General features: G+C 38.6%; 1 protein-coding gene across 2 annotated transcripts in view, besides 1 other annotated feature; it reads right to left on the bottom strand.

Moving 5' to 3' along the window:
• The window catches only part of DIAPH2 (diaphanous related formin 2), a 920156-nt gene that overhangs the window by 348946 nt on the left and 548302 nt on the right, over window positions 1-22908 (bottom strand). For both annotated transcript variants that reach the window (NM_006729.5, NM_007309.4), the window contains exon 23: window positions 8213-8337. In NM_006729.5, coding sequence (NP_006720.1) covers window positions 8213-8337 — 125 coding nt within the window. The remainder of the gene's footprint in view (window positions 1-8212; window positions 8338-22908) is intronic.
• Window positions 3311-4134: an enhancer, noted in NCBI's record as "OCT4-NANOG-H3K4me1 hESC enhancer chrX:96506917-96507740 (GRCh37/hg19 assembly coordinates)". NCBI's record gives its function as "activates a minimal SCP1, AML or CMV promoter by ChIP-STARR-seq in naive H9 embryonic stem cells {active_cell/tissue: H9 hESC(naive)}" and the evidence as "EXISTENCE:reporter gene assay evidence [ECO:0000049][PMID:30033119]".

Genomic DNA, 22908 nt, shown 5'->3' with positions numbered 1-22908 from the left:
TTTTATGTTCTGAAAAAGATGATTTCCCAGATGAGTCTCTTGTGGCCTGAAAGGGTTTATGTATCCTTTAACTGAGCAATATATTCTCTTCTCACCATTAGCATCATGCACCAAATGTCTATCAATTCCCTGAACAAAGTTTGAAAAATGTAGCTCATAGTGTACGTAATTTCAGGGTGAATTTCAAGCAAGCAAAACTCTTCAAAGAGAAAATTTTTGTGCTAACGGACCCTTAAAAATATGCTCCATTCAGACAGGGTCTTAGAATGTGATTTCTATCTTAAAATCTGTTAAGACATAATTTTCAATAGCTGCATTTTAAATCAAGACATGATAAAAGAATAACATTTGAAACATGTTAGACTCCTTTCTTCTGTTAAACTGAGGCTATGCCAGAAAAACAAGCTAATGTTCTGTTTACTGGCCATAATGTTAAGTTTTATATTAATTATATAATAAACTCTAACCTATTTAAATAAACATTTATTAAGCACTTGACTTTCTATAAAGCATTGTTACAGGCTTGTTGTGAAGTACTCAAAATATGAATCAGAATCTGTATCTGAAAAGAGTACATAAACCAGTATGCAAAATAGATATGTACATGTACATGAACAGAGTACAGGCAAACCAGCAAGTACAATAATCAAAGTATTAAAATGTTATAAAAATACAGGGAATAGGGAAATTAATTTTGATTGCTATGATTAGGGAAGGCTTTCTGGAGGAGATGGTATAAGTGAGCAGCTAATTTTTAAATCAGTTTACAATCCTTTCAAAAAGAACATTTTTTTTCCCATTTGAGAGAGATTGAAAAGGAAGCAAAAAAACAGTTTCACAGGGAACAAATGTAGAACTTATCTCAGATTTTCAAACAGGTCTAACCTCGGAGGCAGCACAATACCATGGTTAGAAGCACAAGGTTTAATGTCGGAAAGACCAAAATTGGAATTCTGACCCTCATGAACCACACATATTACCTATGTGATCTCCTGTACATGGTTGAACCTCTATAGCCTCAATTTTATCACATTTAAAATAAAGTTAAGGCTGGGTGCAGTGGCTCATGCCTGTAATCCCAGCACTTTGGGAGGCTGAGGCGGGTGGGTCACAAGGTCAGGAGTTCGAGACCAGCCTGGCCAATATGGTGAAACCCCGTCTCTACTAAAAATACAAATACAAAAATTAGTCAGGTGTGGTGGCCAGCACCTGTAGTCCCAGCTACTTGGGCAGCTGAGGCAGGAGAATGGCTTGAACTCGGGACTGTACCACTGCACTCCAGCCTGGCCAACAGAGCGAGACTCTGTCTCAAAAATAAAATAAAATAAATAAAATAAAATAAAATAAAATAAATAAAATAAAATAAAGTTAGTAATAGTACCTACTTCATAGTATTGCTTTGGCGGTCACTTAGGAAAATATATAGACAGATATATAGATATAGATATTCCTAGCATAATGGCTGGCATATGACATTAACTAAACAGTGACAAAGACTCTCTCTTGAACCAAATTTTAGTCAGGTTCCTCTGAGTCCTTTTTTTTTTTTTTTTTTTTTTGAGACAGAGTTTTGCTCTTGTTGCCCAGGCTGGAGTGCAATGGTGTGATCTCAGCTCACTGCAACCTTCGCCTCCTGGGTTCATGTGATTCTCCTAGTTCAGCCTCTCAAGTAGCTGGGATTACAGGCGCCTGCCATCACACCCAGCTAATTTTCGTATTTTTAGTAGAGATGGGGTTTCAACATGTTGGCTAGGCTGGTCTCGAACTTCTGACCTCAGGTGATCTACCCACCTTGGCCTCCCAAAGTGCTGGGATTACAGGCGTGAGCCACCGCGCCCAGCCTTGAGTCCTCTTTTTGACTAGGCCTCATTCTTAGGCTCAGTCCTTGGCCCTGACAGTCCAGTTTTAGCAAGAATCCTACTGGGTCTGTTTAGCAAAAATCCTCCACCCTTCATATATGGTCAAATTCCTCATCCTCCACTCTTCATATCTTATTAGCCTTGCCTGCCTTCAGCAAGAATCCTATCAAGTTGGTTTAGGGGGAATCCCCTTATCTTTGATATCTCCTTCTAGTAATGTTCCATTGCCTGACTTCCACCCTGCTTCTTGGCTATAAATCCCCACTTGCCTTTGTTGTATCAGAATGCAGCCTCGTTGTATAGTAAGGTCTCTCTCCTATTGCAATAGTTGCTGAATAAAATTGGCCTTTACCACTTTAACTTCTTTCTGGCTTTGATTTTCTTTCATAACAGTTTATTACTATTATTACTGTTTTTTTTATTATTATTTATTTATTCATTTTGAGACAGAGTCTCACTCTGTTGCCCAGGTTGGAGTGCAGTGGCACAATCTCGGCTCACTGCAACCTCTGCTGCCCGGGTTCAAGCGATTCTTCTGCCTCAGCCTCCTGAGTAGCTGGGATTACAGGCGTGCACCACCATGCCTGGCTAATTTTTTTTTGTAGTTTTAGTAGAGACGGGGTCTCGCCATGTTGGCCAGGCTGGTCTCGAACTCCTCACCTAGTCATCCACCCGCCTCGGCCTCCCAAAGTGCTGGAATTACAGGCATGAGCCACTGTGCCCGGCCTACTACTTTATTATTATCATAAATGATAATACTTTCTATTTAAATTCAATTAAACTAAAAATTCCATTGACCAGTACCATTGTCAAGAGAGTATATTTCAAAAAATGCTAAGAATCTTACTTTTTTAAAAAGCACTCTTTTCCTCTTTTTTTATTTTATTTTATTTTATTTTTTTTTACGGAGTCCTACTCTTTTTGCCGCCCAGGCTGGAGTGCAATGATGCAATCTCTGCTCATTGCAACCTCCGCCTGCCAGGTTCAAGTGATTCTCCTGCCTCAGCCTCCTGAGTAGCTGGGATTATAGGCTTGTGCCACCATGCCCGGCTAATTTTGTATTTTTAGTAGAGACGGGGTTTTACCATGTTGGCCAGGCTGGTCTTGAACTCCTGACCTCAGGTGATCCACCTGCCTTGGCCTCCCAAAGTGCTGAGATTACAAGTGTGAGCCATTGCACCCGGCCCCCCTTGTGGTTTTCTAAAACAATTTGCTTCTCAATGTATGCATTATCTGTATTACTGACAATGCCCCCTTTTAAATCCTGTACCCTCCTCTCCCTGAACAGTCTCATAAATGTTTGCATTGAACTTTCTAATTTTCTGCATTTGAGAGGAGCAGACAGTGAGGGTAAGGAGAGAGTCAGAGGTGATGAACTTCCCCCCTCCAGCCTAATCTGAAGTTCTCAATTTTTCTTTAGGCACCAGAAAATGACCTGAATTACTATGTTCATTAAAAACAAAACAAAACAAAACACAACAGCTTTGCTCTTGAGGGTTGTTTTTGCTTTCATTTCTATTTTGTCAATTTTATATGACATTTGCTTTACAAAGTGTGGATTATCATCTCCCTGAAACCTGTTACTGGCATGTTCTCAAAGGTGATCAATGTCACTGGTGGTTCTGTGAGTTTTTTCATCTACTTAAAAATTATTATCTTAATAAATAAAGGTGGAATACAATTAACATAATGGCAGTGCAGTGAAGACCCCAAATCTGTTTTGAATTATCTGGAAAGGATAATGTGCCTTCTCAGTAACTTGATTTGTAACCACTTCAAATGACTTCCCTCATACTATGAGGAAATCCCAAGTGTTGATAGTTAGTTGACAGGGTGTTAATGTCATTAACATTCTGTCAGCTCTTCTTGTCAATGTGTTAATGGTGCCCCTGCTGCTCAGTCACTCTCTGTCCTCCGGTTGGGGAAATGATTTAACCAGCAGTCAATCAAAAAGCTAAGCTGATTTTGGGCAACAGAAAACCCTGCCATTGACAAAATCTCTGCAAGTAAATGTGGTAAGGAATTTGTCAACTGGATATAAGCAGTAAGGTCGACATCGTGGTTGATGTGCTTTTTTAGATAGTTTAAGATGTTAAGAATGGACCACAACACATATTTAAAAGTCTAAGAAGTCCTCTTTTAAGAATGGGTTTCTTTTCTGACAGAAGAAGCAAGGATTGGTAAGTAAAAATGATGCTTTGACTTTTTTAAAAAAGTAAAGTGTTGGGGTTCAGAACACAATATCTGGAAGTACGCTACCTTGGCATGCTGAATACTTTGAGCTGAAGGACACCAGGAGGACCACAGAAGCAAGAAGGTGTCTCTGAACTTATCCCTCCCTCCTTCGTACCTTCCTTTGTCTCCTGAAGCAAGTCAAAGAAACTAGAATTCCTCTCCCTTGAAAGAAGCCATAAAACCTAGGAAGATCACTTTCTGAGCTCTGTCCTTCCTCACCAAAGACTTTCACATAGGCCGGGCGCTGTGGCTCGTGCCTGTAATCCCAGCACTTTGGGAGGCTGAGGTGGGCTGGTCACCTGAGGTCAGGAGTTCGAGACCAGCCTGGCTAACATGGTGAAACCCCTTCTTTACTAAAAATACAAAATTAGCTGGGCGTGGTGGCGTGTGCCTGTATTCCCAGCTACTCGGGAGGCGGAGGCAGGATAATCGTTTGAACCCAGGTTGCAGTGAGCCGGGATCGCGCCACTGCACTCCAACCTGGGTTACAGAGTGAGGCTCCGTCTCCAAAAAAAAAAAAAAGAGACCTTCACATGACAGGTGTCTTTTCCCCATACCTGGGGGAAGACTGTCATACAGAGATACAGAAAATAATCTGAACCAGCCTTCATGGGTTGCCCCCAGCTTATTACCATTAGATCATATCCTTTTATCCACCAGTCATACTTCTGCACAACTGCCCATAAAATACATGGTTTTTCCCTGTTTCTTTGAGTCTTCATTTATGGAGTTTCCTGTGTCACATAAAACTCACATTAAATAAATTTGTATGCTTTGCTCTTGTTAATATGGTATTATAGGGTGTCAGCCATGAACCTTCGAATGGGTCAAGAACGACTGATTTTTCTCTCCTATACCATCTAATTTTTTCTGAGTCAGAACAAGCAACCTATTTTGGGTAGAGAAAGGAAGAAAGAGGTGATGAGTTTCCTTCTAAAGCCATTGGCCCCAGCAGGCTAGAAATAGCCTTGGAAACTCCATTCAAAGGAGAGGTTTTTTTGTTTTTGTTTTTGTTTTTTGTCTATGTTTTTTCTGATGTTTACTTTAAAAGCTGTGGATCCTCTCTCTTAAAACTGATTATACATTACAGCATGCTCTATAAAGGTGATTCAATGATACATTTGTGAGAGATATATGAAGAAAATTTTTATAAATATAAGCACAGCCTAACACTGACAGTATCGTTTTGAAGTGCTAAGTAAAGGCAGGGGCTTGGACTAGATGATCTTCACTGTCTCTAGCTATAATACCGTGTGATTCAACACATATTTACTGAGTGCCTACACTGTGCTAGGTGGTAGGCATATAGTAATTAACAAACCATACATAATCTCTGCCATGGGAACAGCAAGACAGAGAACATACAAATGTCAGACTGTCAGCAGCCTGAGGTCAAGTTTTCTATCATCTTGTGTACTGTTCAATTTTCATGCCTGGCAATGTCTAGCATACTTTAAGTGTTCAATCAAAATTGGGAAAGAGTAAGGGTAAATATAGGGTGCTCCAGGACATAGCCTGACTTGAAGATCCAACCTGCATATTCAGTTGCCCTGAAGCCATCATGCCATTGCTGCTAACTACAGCATTGTTGCTGTTCTGAAGTCCAGAGGCATACGAATGCTTTTCAGCTTGTGAACTCAGTCCTCACAGACAGATTACTGTTTAAGTAGCTAAAGTTACTTTCCATGGAAACTACTCCAATACTTGTGACCCTAATTATTCAATTTAAAGGGCCAGTGACTTGAAGCAAAACAATTTATTGGCACTGGATGGAAATATTGGAAAGATCATCTAGTACAAAGGATCCTATACTAGAAATGGAATCATGGTCCTATTTTTTGTTGTTTTTTGTTTTTTTTTGAGACGGAGTTTCGCTCTTGTTGCCCAGGCTGGAGTGCAATGGCGCGATCTCGGCTCACCGCAACCTCTGCCTCCCAGGTTCAAGCAATTCTCCTGCCTCAGCCTCCCGAGTAGCTGAGATTACAGGCATGCACCACTATGCCTGGCTAATTTTGTATTTTTAGTAGAGACGGGGTTTCTCCATGTTGAGGCTGGTCTCGAACTCCTGACCTCAGGTGATCCGCCCGCCTCAGCCTCCCAAAGTGCTGGGATTACAGGCGTGAGTCACCACCCCTGGCTCATGGTTCTATTTTTAAAACAGGATCAAGTATCCCACAATAAAATATCTTTCTCTTTTAGCATTGCCAGAAGGGTAAAAAATATATATATTAGGTAGGCACCAGAACTCATATACATACATATAATGATTACGCATTTCGTTCGTCTCTTTCTAGAAGATAGAAACTCTCAATGGGTGACCAAGAAGTCTTTCAAAGGAAGAATAACTTGAGCCACAGTTTTATCTTTATAATCCATTAATTCATAGTTTTTAACCAACCCAACTCAATATTCTAATTTTTTCTCTGAAATAAATTGCTGTGTATTTTATTTTGTTTCTTTAAAAAATATGATATGCAAAGTAACAGCCCCATACATTTTAATACAGTTTTCAATCCCCTTGTGGACAAATAGTCACACTTTAGTGCCACTTAAATGAAGAATAACCATTCATCTGTAACATACAGATACAGAAGGCTCTGGATTTTCATTTTAAAGTGCTTAATTACCTGCATAAAGAGAGAAATAAAATAAGGAGTCCAGGCCAAGTTCATGAGGGTTTGAAATTACTTTTCTTTTTCTAAATGAGCAACAAAGACTCAATGTTGCAAGCTGTTGTGTGGCTATAAGCCAACAGTAGAAGAAAATGTTCAAAAGAAAAAGGGGATAAGGAATTAAATTCAAATATATGAGGCAAGAACCAAAATCAAAAGGTGAAAAAGGAGGTGGTGTTTCCAGGCACAGGACAATATAACATATTTGAAAAAAAAAAAAAATGTAATCAGCAATAAAGTGAAACCTTCACATTAGGTATCCTAACGTGGCCAGTAATGCAACCCAAGGTTATTTTTGTGGATTCCCTGCCTCCAATCAATCACAAACTTATTTTGCCAATATTTGTATTCATGAAGGTACTCAGAATCACTAAAGTACCATACAAAACACAGTATTCATTAATGAACCAAAACACTGAGAGTTAAAATTTTTTTTAACATAAATCTAAATTGCCATTCTTAAGTAATTCGAGTTCAGCACTGTAACTTCCAAGTTGGGCAAAAAATAAAGCATATCACAGAAGAAAAAGGCAATAGATTTAACCTTGAAACAAGGTGACTGCCAAATAGTTGTTGAAGGAATTTACTTATTATCAGATAAAGAATTTACAGTATTTATTCCCTCTAAAGATATAAAATGGTGAATCAATCTGCAGTTCAAGATACTTATTTAAACCCAGAGGAGGAGGATATGGCTTTAACTTTTGAAAACTAAAATAGAAAATTATAAAAAAATCAGGTCTAATGTAGTTTATCTTTAGACACCAGATTTAACATTAAACAATTCAAGCTAAATGCTATTTCTCAAGTTTTCCTTTTATATATTTTTATGATTTATATGAATATACTGCTATAAACTAGAAGTTTCAAAAAATGTTTATTTAGCAAGAAATGCTTAATGTTATACAGATATCTACTACAATTTATTTAAATATATAATCTACTAATCAATTCGTCTATCCATCCAACCATGTATCCATTTATCCTTCACAGTCCTTTCTGTCTAGTGATATTAGTTATCCTCTTATTGTCCTTGAAAATGCACACATGCCCTCAGAAAATGTATGCACACACACACAAAATCTCAGACAAAAAAAAACCTTCTGTTGATAATTTACTTTAAACATTTGGTTATATAAGAACATTCTGTTTTGTTTTGTTTAGGTTTCATCAAACCTCTTAAGACTTACCTTGCATATCCTGTGGGCTTTCAAATGGAATTCTTCTTTGAGAAATAGCCTTCAAAAAAAATCTAATTGTTCCCTTGCCTACTGGTTGAAAACATCATGAAACAAAATTTATGCTACTAATAGAAAAACAGCATATACACAAATTCATCCAGATGGTGTGAAAAGACTAGTAAATCTAGAACTAACCACACAGTTAGTAAACAGACAGACATAGAGACTAAAAACTAGACAAAATGCTTAAATAAATAAAGGATATGGTCATCTTTTCCACAAACTTATCGTGTTGATTTTCTGCTTGGGGGAATTTCTTGATGTCACGTTCCAGATGAACAATTTGTTGTTCCATTGATGCAAGGTTGCTCTTGAGAATTTGAGCTGAAACTAAAGAACAGTGTGCAAAGGATTTAGAATATTTTACCAAGTGTTCCACAAAACATCTAAAAGGAGACATTATCAGTTAAAGTCTTTTTTTTTAAATGTGGGAAATAGTTCCATGAAGTCAACTCACATTTTTCTGAATTACTGCTTATAAAAATTCTACTCTCCATGAAATAAATGAAAATGTGTAATACAGTATACCAAATTATCATGTTTAATATGGGAATGTCACCATTTTACTCAGCCATTAGTTCAAATGAATCCATTTCAATTTAAATTTATTGACGGAATTCCTAACATTTCATTCTTTAAAATCTAATTTGAAGATTAAAGAAAAACTAAGGTTCAAAGAGATGTTATTAATGCACGTTAGTAGCTCTATAAATGATTTAAGGTTAAATTATGTAAAAGGATCAAATATTTTTCTTTTGTTGGAATATCCTGATTTTTATAAACCAATATCTATGGTAAAAGTTCCCATCTCTAGTATTTTTCAAAGAGATGTGAAAAATAACTGTTGATACAGAAAGATAATTTAGAGCAAACCCCAGCAAACACAAATGAACGTACATACCCACAAAGATTCAGCCTGCCCTCAAACACTATCATTAGTTGCTGTAATTACCCCTAACATTCTCTGCACCTTCCTTTTGCTCTCATTGACAACTAATAATTTTATGTATTGTATTCAAACTGCTCCTAAATACATGCACATTTTTCAGATCTGTCAGGAGACCTTCTTTTTACCAGGTAATTTTTTTTTAACTTTCAACTATTTTATAGATACTCTATTGCTGCATAACTGCCAATTATGTATGAAAACACTTCTATCAATATCAACAGCATTTGGCAAGATTCTAGTTGCAAAGATGAGGTAAGTGTTATAATTTGATGGACAGCCTGTGACATTGGTTTTTAAATCCAGGCCTCTGAAATACTGTTATTTTCATTAAAGGACCATGAAACACAAATAGAAAAATACTATGATTCTTTCTTATTTTTAAGCAAAGTTAGTCTTATGCAGAGACATATCAGCATTACAATGAAAAATTTAAGAGACTGCCAAAATCAACCCCTTGGCAAATTTCAGCCAAACTGTTCAGATACAAATTCATCATGTTGATGGGCACATCTTTATAACTCAATGAGGAGAAATCACCTTAAATATACATGGAAGTTCAAGAGACTAAAAATCAAACACTAACACTAAAGACTATTTTTTTTCTATTAATCTGTCAGTTTAAATAGCTCTGTCCAATTTAGTTCCATTTGTTTAGATCTGACAAGCTTGGAAATTATTCTTTATTGCAGAAGAAAGTTTTGCCAAAAATTTGCTAATGGTTCACCAATCATTGCTTGCTTTATTTAAAGGATGAGTTTGCTATGGAAGAAATAATTCTCTCTGATTTTAAAATTGAATTTTTTCACTTAGGTTTCTCTGCTGTATTCCAATTATTCAAAAGGTTTCTCCTTCCCCACTTGGTTGATTGAAAAAGTGAAGACAGGCCGAGCGCGGTGGCTCACACCTGTAATCCCAGCACTTTGGGAGGCTGAGGTGGGCGGATTACCTGAGGTTATGAGTTTGAGGCCAGCCTGGCCAACATGGTGAAACCCTGTCTCTACCAAAAAAAAAAAAAAAATACAAAAATTAGCCAGGCCTGGTGGTGGGTGCCTGTAATCCCAGCTACTCGGGAGGCTAAGGCAGGAGAATCACTCAAACCCAGGAGGTGGAGGTTGCAGTGAGCCAAGATCCCGCCACTGCACTCTAGCCTGGGCAACAAGAATGAAATTCCGTCTCAAAAAAAAAAAAAAAAGTGAAGACAAAACATTGACCAGTCACTTATGTTATTTAGGTTACACGGACATGGTGAAGTTCAGGGCACATTACCCAAAAATATGGTGCCTTGGCATATTGAGTATTTTAAGCTGAAGAACTTTTAGAAATGACACCTGCAGGAAGGACTATCTGATCTTTCCTGGGCACAGGTCTTAAGACCCTCATGTAGGCCCCACATGGGGGCTCATGCCTGTAATCCGAGCACTTGTGGAGGCCAAAGTGGATGGATTGCTTGGACTCAGGAGCTCAAGGCCAGCCTGGACAATATGGCAAAACCCCATCTCTACAAAAAATACAAAAATAAGCTCTGCTGGGTGTGGTGGCTCACACCTGTAATCCCAGCTCTTTAGGAGGCTGAGGCAGGAGGATCACGTGGGCCCAGGAGTTCGAGAGCAGCCTAAGCAACATAGCTAGACCTCGTCTCTACAAAAAATTTAAAAAAAAGAAAATGAGATGGGAGGATTGCTTGAGCACAGAAAGTTGAGGCTGCAATGAGTTATGATGGCATCACTGTATTCCTGCCTAGGTGACAGAGTGAGACCCTGCCTTAAATAAATAAATAAATAAATAAATAAGCAAGCTGGGTGCGGTGGTTATGTGCCTAGTCCCAGCTACTCAAGAGGCTGAGTTAGGAGGATCGCTTGAGCCTGGGAGCTCGAGGCCACAGTGAGTCATGATCATGCCACTCTTCTCCAGACAGGGCAACACAGATTGATCCTTTCTCTTAAAGAAAAAAACAAAAAACAAAAGCAAACAAACAAACAAAAACTCATGTGGCTTTTTTTTTTTTTTAGACGGAGTCTCACTCTGTCGCCAGGCTGGAGTGTAGTGGCATGATATCTCGGCTCACTGCAACCTCCGATTCCCTGGTTCAAGTGATTCTCCTGCCTCAGCATCCCAAGTAGCTGGGACTACAGGCATGTGCCACCACGCCCAGCTAATTTTTATATTTTTAGTAGAGACGGGGTTTCACCATGTTGGTCAGGATGGTCTCGATCTCCTGACCTTGTGATCCACCCGCCTCGGCCTCCCAAAGTGTTGGGATTACAGGCATGAGCCACCATGTCCGGCCTGAGAGCTAACTTTGCTATATGCACCCTGAGGAAACCAACATCCTTATCTCTGAAAATAAAGGGACATAGAAATCTGAACAAATAGGTCTTGTTAAATTTCTCCCAGTTTATTATACTTAGCACATACTTTTCCTTCTCCCTATCATATTTTTCCACACCTCTCCATTTTTCATCAAACATACTATAGAAAACCTCAGGTTTAACTGTTTCTTTGGATCTTCATTTCCTTATGAATGCTCCCCTCTCAAGTTATGTAAAACCTAAATAAATCTGCATTATTTTCTTTTGCTAATCTGCCTTTTGGTATAGAGACCGTGGCCAATGAACCTAAAATGGGGAAAAGGAAAAGTTATTTTTCCTCCCTAACTTTCTGTAATAAATAAAATGTGCTAAAAGGCCAGGTTTAGGTCACAATAGTAATGGCACTAGTAAAAAGGGGATGATGATGATAATGACTTCATCTTCCAATCATTCAATACAAAACTAGCCTAATCAAATTGCTATGCACACAGCAGTCTACATATGTCAAGTAATAAGTGAGAATATTTTTAACCCAGGGAAATTACTTTTACTCTAAAGTTGCATTCTGAATAAATCAATATTTTTCTGAACATCTGTCCTCCCGAATTTCACATGTATAATCTTTAGTCCTCTATAAATCTCTCCAGAGCTCTACTCCAAATTCTCTACCATTTCATATGTACTTTTTGTTTGTTTAAGTGATCTTCGACCTATCACCTTCTGCTTTGAATAATAATTGTCTTTTATCTCATATACATAAACAACAGTTTCCTTTATAAAACTCCAAGCTGCCTAATGGTAAGATCTATATTTGATTTTTTGCTTTTCCCTCAGTACTTATCACTGTGCTCAGTATTTATCACTCAATAAATATTTATTGATGAATATGTACATTTCAAGAAGTTTTGGTTCACATTTAAATTTATGTCTACTTCCACAACTGAAAGTACAGGGAGAGGTTAGATATAATCATAATGATTTGAAGTTACCATACCAATTATTATATAAGTAGAGAAAGAGAGCAGGGACTTGAAATCTGCCTAACAATATATAGACGTGGTTCGGGAGATGCTTAGACAAATGGGAATGTGAGGAAAGCGGATAAAGTAAAAAAAAGTAAAGGGCACCTTTCTTTCTTAGGCTCCTCCATTCTTCCCCTCTAATGGATTATTTATATTATGCCTGAACAAAAGAGAATAAAATATTGGAGATGTAATAATCTGAGAATTCTAGCTTATACAGAAATTTATGGCTGCATTAAACAATGCCATTATGTAAAGTGTTTATCTTTGCATGGGGGAATTATGTTACCTTTGAGGTAAAAGTGACATTAAAGGAGATTTGGACCAGCCTCTTAAATTTGAAAAACTCAGGTTACAGAGTATCACAGTCTGAGTCCCTGCAAAACATAGCCTAAGTTAGAGCTTACTTCTTAAGGCCTTGTTGGGGTGAGCGGGATATAATCCCAGAGAAGCAGGCATGAGGGAAAGACAGCAAATACAAGAGGGTAAGTTCCAGAACTTGTCATAGCTTTACAAAAAAAAAAAAAAAAATGCTGGTTGTTTAGTGTCTCAGGTTGTCTCCGTCAGGGCTGACTTCATGGATATGCAACCTGTGCAGTTGTACAAGATCCCATGCTGCAAAGGGCCCTGCATTTTGTTTAATACTTTGTTGTCATTTTGAAATTCTTAATAACTTTTTGGCCAGGTGCGGTGGCTCAAGCCTGTAATCCCAGCACTTTGGGAGGCTGAGGTGGGCAGATCACGAGGTCAGGAGATCGAGACCATCCTGGCTAACACAGTGAAACCCCATCTCTACTAAAAATACAAAAAATTAGCCAGGCGTGGGGGCGGGCGCCTGTAGTCCCAGCTACTCGGGAGGCTGAGGCAGGAGAATGGCATGAACCTGGGAGGCGGAGCTTGTAGTGAGCTGAGATCCCACCACTGCACTCCAGCCTGGGCAACAGAACAAGACTCCACCTCAAAAAAATAAATAAATAAATAAAATAAAATAAAAATTTGCAGTGGGGTGCCACATTTCATTCTGCACCCGGACCCAAAAATTATCTAGTCAGTCCTGGTCTCCAGATAAAACAAATGTAACTTAGAAAAGTAGGTTAGAGGCCAGGTGCCATGGCTCATGCCTGTAATCCCAGCACTTTGGGAGGCTGAGGCGGGTGGATCGTTTGAGGTCAGGAGTTTGAGACCAGCATGGCCAACATGGTGAAACCCCGTCTCCACTAAAAATACAAAAAAATTAGCTGGGCATGGTGGTGCCCGCCTGTAATCCCAGATACTCGGGAGACTGAGACAGGAAAATCACTTGAACTTGGGAGACAGAGGTTGCAGTGAGCCGAGATCGTGCCACTGCACTCCAGCCTGGGCGACAGAGTGAAACTCTGTCTCAAGAAAAAAAAAAAAGAGCTGCTTAGAGGAGACAATGAGCAATTCATTTACCTGCTTACTCCTTAGCATCTCCTGTTCCTTCATTGGTGAAATTGTTTCTAGCAATGTTAACTTCCCACTATGGCTGGGAAATGAGTAGCCTGGGTTTGGAGGTGGGAGATGGCAAAGGAGTGCCCAGTAAATCTGGGGTGTTGCATATATTAGATCTAAAACAGAGTACTCCCTACATCCTAAGTGCCTTATTCAATTGTTGACAGTTGATATCACTAGAATTTTTTTATTTACTCATAAGAAAAATCAGCCTACTTAGCCAGGTGTGGCGGCTCACGCCTGTTATCTCAGCACTTTGGGAGGCCGAGGCGGGCGGATCACAAGGTCAAGAGATCGAGACCATCCTGGCCAACTTGGTGAAACCCCGTCTCTACTAAAAATACAAAAATTAGCCAGGCGTGGTGGTGGGCGCCTGTAATCCCAGCTACTCAGGAGGCTGAGGCAGGAGAATCGCTGGAATCCGGGAGGCAAAGGTTGCAGTGAGCCTAGATCGCGCCACTGCACTCTAGCCTGGCAAAAGAGTGAGACTCCGTCTCAAAAAAAAAAAAAAAAAAAAAAATCAGCCTACTTAAACTCTTATCTATTACTCCTAATTTTGCCTCATAGTAGCACTGATCAAGTCTACTACCTATTTTACAAGAAATGTATCAGTTGAATCTTCTTAATCTACCCAGCCTATACATACCCAGTTCCTTCAACTAGTCCTTCTGTGGTGTAAGAATTAGCCATTACTGGCCAGGCGTGGTGGCTCATGCCTGTAATCCCAGCACTTTGGGAGGCTGAGGCGGTCGGATCACGAGGTCAGGAGATCGAGACCATCCTGGCCAACATGGTGAAACCCCATCTCTACTAAAAATACAAAAAAATTAGCAGGGCGCGGTGGCAGGCACCTGTAGTCCCAGCTACTCGGGAGGCTGAGGCAGGAGAATTGCTTGAACCCAAGAGGCGGAGGTGGCAGTGAGCTAAGATCGCACCACTGCACTCCAGCATGGCGACAGAGCGAGACTCCGTCTCGGGAAAAAAAAAAAAAGAATTAGTCATTACTTAAGTTCTTAAGTAATAACCAACATTTACTGAGTACTTACTATGTGCTAGACATTATTCTAAGTAGTTTTATGTATTAACTTATCTAATACAAAAATTCTATAAGGTATGCACTACTCTTAAGGAGGGGTATAAGTGATGTCATCTCAGGAAATTGTAAATGTAAAGCAGTATTTCTGGAGCCTGGAAGGCCAGCATCATGAAATAAAACCTGTACTCTTTATCATTCATTGGCACAAGGTCATGTTACTTATATATGCTGCTGTGGCAGAATTGGATGGGGTAGGAATGGTTTTAGGAATCAGACAGACCTAGGTTCTAATCTCAGCCATACATATTACTAGTTAGGTTATCTTAAGCCAATGACTTAGCTTCTCTAGGCCTTCATTTCCTGATTTGCAAAATGATGATGATAATATCTTCCTTAAAGGGTAGTCATTTAGGTTAAATGATTTGATAAAGTACTTATTATTATACCTAGTACATAAATATTCATTTTATATTTCACTATCCTCTTTCCTACACCCTACCTTCCAACATACACATTCCCACTGTATACATGCTACCACGAATTAAACAACTATTTAGATGTAATCTACGGGAAAAAAATGCAGACATTTCCAACCTGCTATCCCTACTATGGCCTAATTTAACGTAATATTGGTCTTTTTTTTTTTTTTTGAGATGCAGTCTTGCTCTGTTGCCCAGGCTGGAATGCAGTGGTACAATCTCGGCTCACTACAAGCTCTGCTTCCCAGGTTCACGCCATTCTCCTGCCTCAGCCTCCTGAGTAGCTGGGACTACAGGCGCCCGCCACCACGCCCGGCTAACTTTTTGTATTTTTAGTAGAGACGGGGTTTCACTGTGTTAGCCAGGATGGTCTCGATCTCCTGACCTCGTGATCCACCCTCCTCGGCCTCCCAAAGTGCTGGGATTACAGGCGCGAGCCACAGCGCCCAGCTGGTCTTTTTTTAATAAAGAGAACTAAATTTAGATTGTGTTTTCTGTGTTTAGATTTTACAGGGTACATGGAATTTTAGGTTTGGGAACTAGTGACAATTACACTAACTAACAGCCAATTTATCAGACTTATTAGCAAGTTCCAAATTTAAATAATATTTCTGGAAATTAAAACCCATGCAATAGTCTGTATTTCCTTGGCATTTAAAAGTTCATCACTTTGGCTTTCTAGACTTGTCTAAAAGGTAACAGACAAAAAAAAAGTATTAGAAAAGAATTAATATGTGTTTACCTGCCTCATTAATTGCCTTGAACACATTTGCCTCAATCTTAAGAGTTGGCAATCAATTAATATTATGATTATTTAAATATTTAACTAGGTCTTTGCCTACACTACTTCTAATATTTCTCAGGTAGGGGGTGCATGTGCGTGTGCGTGTGTGTGTGTGAGAAAGAGAGAGAGAGAAAGAGAGAGAGAGAGAGAGAGAGAGATTTTTACTAGAGGTTGCAGGGTGATGATGGTACCTGTAGTGCCAAGAATATTTAAGTACCAGAGTGGGTTAGAAATGCTTGCCTTTGCACAGCCTCAGCCTCAGGGTATATTTTTGTGCCTGTCATTATATTAGTTCACTAATATAAACTAGGGGGTCTTTAATGACAGTGCAAACATTTTCTATCTGAGTAAATTCCCACTACAGGCATTTTCAATGACTGATTAGTCAGTCTGGTAGCACTTTAATTTTTTTTCTCTCATTTCATTTTTTAAATCTGCTACTGAATTACTGAATCTGAATTATAACACTAAAAAATTAAATTATAGCTATCGGGTTCTTTATTATAGCTTTCTTCCTTGTACTCCATAAATAACCTTTTAAGCTTAGTGTACTCTCTTGAGTTATATGTAGGAGAAACTTTCCTCACATATCTTATTTATCTACTTGCTTCAGTTGAAAAATATACATATACTTTTTCCCTGGCTTCAAGCAAATATATGATAGTGGCCTGATCCTCATTCAAAACATTTTAAATGACAGACTTTCTCTAATACATAATCCTAAGGTAAAGTATAAGATACATATTTTAAGCAAGAGTTTGAACGGAAGGACTCTTCAATTACACAGTATATAAGAGAACAGATATGCATGCAAGAAAAAAAATCACAGTATTCCAGTGACACTGTCTAGACCATATTAAGAATGTGTAATTCTATGTAAATATAAAAGCATTTCCAGGAATTTGTGGATTTTTTTCTGAATTAAATGTTTCTATTCATTGTAACCATTGACAAATTAACGGAGCACTTCTTACATCTTTGCTCTAAGAAAGACCAAGTAAGAATTTACTCTTGCAAGTCTATATGTGAATAGGCCCAAACATGATTATATAAGTACCCTGTAATTTTCCTTAACTGAATATATTTAGTTGAAGAATTACTATCAGCGGAACGGCATACCATTAAAGTGACTCATCCGGAAAGCATATGTAAAAAAGAAAAGGAACATTACAAGCATCCTGAACAATAGACACTGTTGCATTCTTTCTCAAGTGCATTTATAAGGTAGTTTCATTTTACATGAACGCTGTACCTGGAAATGAAGCAAATGTGTTTATACAGTAACAATAGCAAAAGCTCATCACTGTGAGCTTCTTTGGCCTTTAAAGAAAATAAACGGTAAATGGTACCCAAATAAAAAATCCCTATAATGAAGAAAAATGTGAGAAAATGACTCATTCTTAGGGGGAAAAAAAAAAAAAACCTGTTAAAAAGTCACCTTCACAGAAAACACAACTAGAATTCTTATTCCATAAAACTTAAAAATGTGCATTCTAAATATGTGTTCTTAAGTACCATCATTTACTCCTCTAACATGTGCCCTTGGGAAGAAAGTGCAGTTTTTCTCAACTGGATTCATAATGTGGTCTGAACTGATGCTGATAGCAGAGGAAATCCAGTAAGAAAACATGAAAGCTGCATTCTATGATTTAACTCTTAAAACTTCGCTAAGTACACTTCAATGTCTGAGTTCATACATTTGCACAAGTTCTCAGCCTGAAAACCTCAGTCTGACTGCATGTTTGAAAAAATAAAGAGAGACTTCTAACAAAAAGAAAACAAGGAGGAAGGGAAAGTTTGAAACTGTCTAAGTAATAATTTGCAATAAGAAAATTCTGAAGCCTGAGCACCAAACCAACAGTAGTGGACAGACAGTCAAGCTGCCCCTTGAAGAATCCCAGTCCCTTCCCCTGCTGTCTCTTCTGCAAGTGTTATTCTGCCTGCAGCAAATACTATGCGTGATTTTTTAAATCAAAGGCTAAAAAACAAACTGAAATCTCCTACCTTTCTTGACAGTCTTAGCTCAAGGCCAGGACTAGGAAGTAATAAAGCAATGCTGGATAAAGTCTTGGTGGAATGGTTTGTTCTCGTCAAGAAAAATCTTTTTTTGCGGGCCGGGCGCGGTGGCTCACGCCTGTAATCCCAGCACTTTGGGAGGCCGAGGCGGGTGGATCACGAGGTCAGGAGATGGAGACCATCCTGGCTAACAAGGTGAAACTCCGTCTCTACTAAAAATACAAAAAATTAGCCAGGCGCGGTGGCAGGCGCCTGTGGTACCAGCTACTGGGGAGGCTGAGGCAAGAGAATGGCGCGAACCCGGGAGGTGGAGCTTGCAGTGAGCCAAGATGGCGCCACTGCAGTCCAGCCTGGGCGACAGAGCGAGAGAGACTCTTGTCTCAAAAAAAAAAATAGAAAAAAGAAAAAGAAAAATCTTTTTAAAAACTCATTTGGTTGTTTTGTAATAAAAGATGCCCCACCCACCTACAACTCAAACTGGAATAATTTTAATAGGTCAAGTCTTTTCGACTTGATATTGGTCTAACCTGAATAGTCTTCTCCTGGAGATTTTATTTAAATGGCTGGAATGGCATTCTTCTAAATTAAAAAAAAAAAAGCTTGTCAGGAGCTTCAAATGCTGATAAATCCTTTATGACAATCCCATACTAATGTCTTCACTTGTCCAATCTATGTAATGCATTCTTCTTTAACCTTGGAACTAGAACACTAATGATAAAAGTGTAGGTTGTCAAAGGAGGCTACTTAATATAACAATAGAAAGGCTTAAAATAAATTAGTAAAATCATGGAAAAGCAAGGGCTATGAAGAATGTAGACGTGTTGACTAAAACTAGAAAGAAGAAAATCCTAGTTTAAGAAATCTGAAATTACTAGTCTGTAAAATTTGGAATTTTGAGTATATGTTTATAGGTGTGTTTAGTTGTGAACTACAATAATTGAGTAAATAGTACTGCAAAAAGGTCACGAAGAACAAACAGGTAGAAAACAATTTATATTCAATACTGTCAAACAATGTTTTGACAAACTAGATGCGATAAATGAACACTGTTTCACAACAAGACGACTACCTGCTTCTTGAATAAGCATTCACAAATGCTTTTATCTGAGCAATCACTTAATGAAAACTTTACACGCCGGGCGCGGTGGTTCACGCCTGTAATCCCAGCACTTTGGGAGGCCGAGGCGGGTGGATCACGAGGTCAGGAGATCGAGACCATCCTGGCTAACATGGTGAAACCCCATCTCTACTAAAAATACAAAAAATTAGCCGGGCGTGGTTGCGGGCACCTGTAGTCCCAGCTACTCGGGAGGCTGAGGCAGGAGAATGGCGTGAACCCGGGAGGTGGAGCTTGCAGGGAGCCGAGATTGTGCCACTGCACTCCAGCCTGGGCGATAGAGCGAGACTCCATCTCAAAAAAAAAAAAAAAAATGAAAATGAAAAAAAAAGGAAAAAGAAAACTTTACTAATATATACCCTTACTTCTGGTAAATGGTATCTTCAATAAGTTGTGAAAAGATCATACAGATTGATGAACCATTTGAATAGATACTGTCTTCCACATTACTATTTGGCAAGAATTAAGTACACATAAATAGTGTTTCCATAAAGCTATAATGCTGTATTAAAATAATGTTAGCCTTGTTGAGTGTAATTTTTGTGATCATGGGTAAATTTTTCATTAACTTTATTCCTGAACTCTTCAGGGAAATTAATAGGACTATATGCAGATTCTTGCACTTCACAGAGTTTTTGAGGAACAAGTTTAATGCATGAAGTCCACAGGTATGTAACATATACAAAGCCACGAATTTTCACCCAAACTGAATGCAGGTTGTTGAGATCAGTGCTGAGGTCATAGTCCTGAAGCCATTAGAGTCCATTCCACATTAGTGTTGCCTGGATTAGCAATATTTCTCCTGGGTAATAGGGTTATAGGTCAGACAAAAGATGCTTCAAAGGATATAGTAAGCCTATGGTTGTATTTTCCTTATTCATTAACTGTGGATATTAATAGGATTACTATATGCCCTGAAATAAGAAATTGGCAATACAAACTAAAGCAATTAGATAATATAATTGTACTATGTTTTTAAGTTCCTCACTACTGAAAGCAGTCCCTAAATAAAGCAAGTCTTGATTAGTTATCTGGGCATTATCATGTCATAAATTTATTATACTTTATGTAGTTTTGTCTACTAACAAAATAATGGATTTTAAAAAAAAATTTGAGATGAAGTTTGAGAGGTAGGTAGGGTCTTGTAGGACACCGTAAGGAATTTGGGTTTCACCTTAAGTGTAGTGAGAAAGCGCTGAAAGACTTCAAGCAGGATAAATTGATAAAATTTCTTTCTTTTTTTTTTTTTTTTTTTTTTGACGTAGTCTCGCCCTATCCCACAGGCTGGAGTGCATTGGTGCGATCTTGGCTCACCACAACCTCTGCCTCCCAGGTTCAAGCCATTCTCCTGCCTCAGCCTCCTGAGTAGCTGGGATTACAGGCATGTGCCACCACGCCTGGCTAATTTTTGTATTTTGAGTAGAGATGGGGTTTCACCATGTTGGCCAGGATGGTCTCCATCTCCTGACCTCATGATCCACCCACCGTGGCCTCCCAAAGTGTTGGGATTACAGGCATGAGCCACTGTGCCCAGCCACAAAGGTTGTTTTCAAAACGTCTTCTTCTCTGAGACCCAAATAAATATCTGGGTTATGTTTTTCAGAATTCTCCATCTATTCAAATATGTTCCTGAAAAGTCCTTCCACCCTGGCAAAAAGGGAATAAAACACAAAGAAGGGCTAAATATACTTTTGTGTAATTTAAATAGCAACTGGTCTCAAAAGTCATGTTCAAAGAAAGGCTGTTGAAAATTTTAATTCATCTATACAGGTGGGAAAATATTTGGCAAAGCAAAGATGAATAAAAGGCCCAGAGACTTTCAAGTGTTCTGGCAAAAATATATACAAGCACAAATACACATGCAATCTGGCTAAAGGCTCTGAAATATTCAAATGCCTAGTGATCATTTATGAAACAAGGGAAAGGAAAGTGAAAATGTTCACTAATACAAGTACTATGAGATAATGTCTTCAATATAGAAGTTCCTCAAATAGACATATGTATACATTGCTTGGCTAGACTAGATAAGGGATTGGTGAACTACTGTCTGCAGGCCATATCTAGCTGGCTGCCTGTTTTCGTATGGCCTGTGAACTAAGAATGCTTTTTACATTTTTAAGTGGCTGAAAAAAAAATCAAAAGAAGGATAGCATTTTGTGACACATGAAAAGTATATGAAATTTAAATTTCAGTGTCCATAAATAAAGTTTTATTGAAAAACAGCCAGGTCCATCGTTTACATATTGCCTATGGCTGCTTTTGGACTATAAAGGCAGTCCTGAGTCCTTGTGACAGGGACTGTGTGTGGTCCGTAAGCCCTAAAATATTTAATATCTTGCTCTCTGCAGAAAAAGTTTGTTGATCCATGTTCTAGATTAACAAAAATGCCCCCTTGGGGAGGGATATCAGCAATTTCCTAGTCCAGATCTCTCATGAGGATATGGAAACAGAGAGAAAACAAAAGTGGATTGCCTAGGTATACACCACCAGGCCTCTGGATTTCTTTTTTTCTTTTTTTTTTTTTTTTTGAGATGGAGTTTCGCTCTTGTTGCCTAGGCTGGAGTGCAATGGCGAGATCTCGGCTCAACACAACCTCCGCCTCCCAGGTTCAAACGATTCTCCTGCCTCAGCCTCCCGAGTAGCTGGGATTACAGGCATGCACCACCATGTCTGGCTAATTTTTTTTTTTTGTATTTTTAGTAGAGACGGGGTTTCTCCATGTTGGTCAGGCTGGTCTCGAACTCCCGATCTCATGTGATCTACCGGCCTCAGCCTCCCTAAGTGCTGGGATTACAGGCGTGAGCCACTGTGCCTCTGGATTTCTTGATGCCTCTATAACCATAATGCAACTGAGTCTCCTTACAACAATTCTTTGCATCCTTCTGAGGGTAAAATGTATATTGTGAATTCTATAATGTGGAATTGATTATATAAGTTTATTCTGTTGAATGTATCAATAGAATGTTAATTTAACAGGACAGAAAAAAAAACTTTTTAATTGAGTTAGCACAATGCCACAGACAGCTATGATCAAAGCAGGCTGGCAAAATTTATTTTGTAAATCCCCAAATTAAATAAATAAAATATAAAAGCAACAGACACATGCAGAAACTCAAAGCCAGGTCCTGTATCCCAGTCAGTATAAAAGGAAAAATCAGCCACTATAAAGCAACATGAAATTCAATCTCAATGGCCAAATTATCACTTCTGAAAATAACACGGAGGAGTCCAAATGAAATTCTCCATTATCCCATCTTATAGCTTCCTTTTAGAATTGACCAAAACGCATCCTAAATAACTGATCTCTTTGTCATTACCATGGGCTTTAAAATGATACTCCAGTACATTCCAGGAAGTTGCCAAGTTACAAATCCCAGTGTTGTATAAACAGACACACAAACACACACACATGCACATACTCATTTCATCCTATAAAACGTATCTTGTTATTATGCCAGTTTTACATATGAAAAACCTGAGACAAAGAGAGATTAAATAATTTCTTCAAAGTCATGTAACTAGTAAGTGGCAGAGACAATATTTGAAGTTATGAAGTCTCATGTGTGTTCTTAACCAACATGCTCTACTGCCTGCTGAGAATAAGGCAAGATTTAGTTCAGCAGTATTTCCAAGTATGGGAAGTACAAGGTGAACCTGGTATCTGAAGTTCTTTTAGGCCCTGAAAGTTAACACATAGTTCTGCTAATGGCATAGCA

This window comes from Homo sapiens, chromosome X, assembly GCF_000001405.40.
Source record: "Homo sapiens chromosome X, GRCh38.p14 Primary Assembly".
Lineage (NCBI taxonomy): Eukaryota > Metazoa > Chordata > Mammalia > Primates > Hominidae > Homo > Homo sapiens.
The sequence above is the reverse complement of the archived record's forward strand: the minus strand, read 5'-3'. Positions and strand labels throughout refer to the sequence as shown.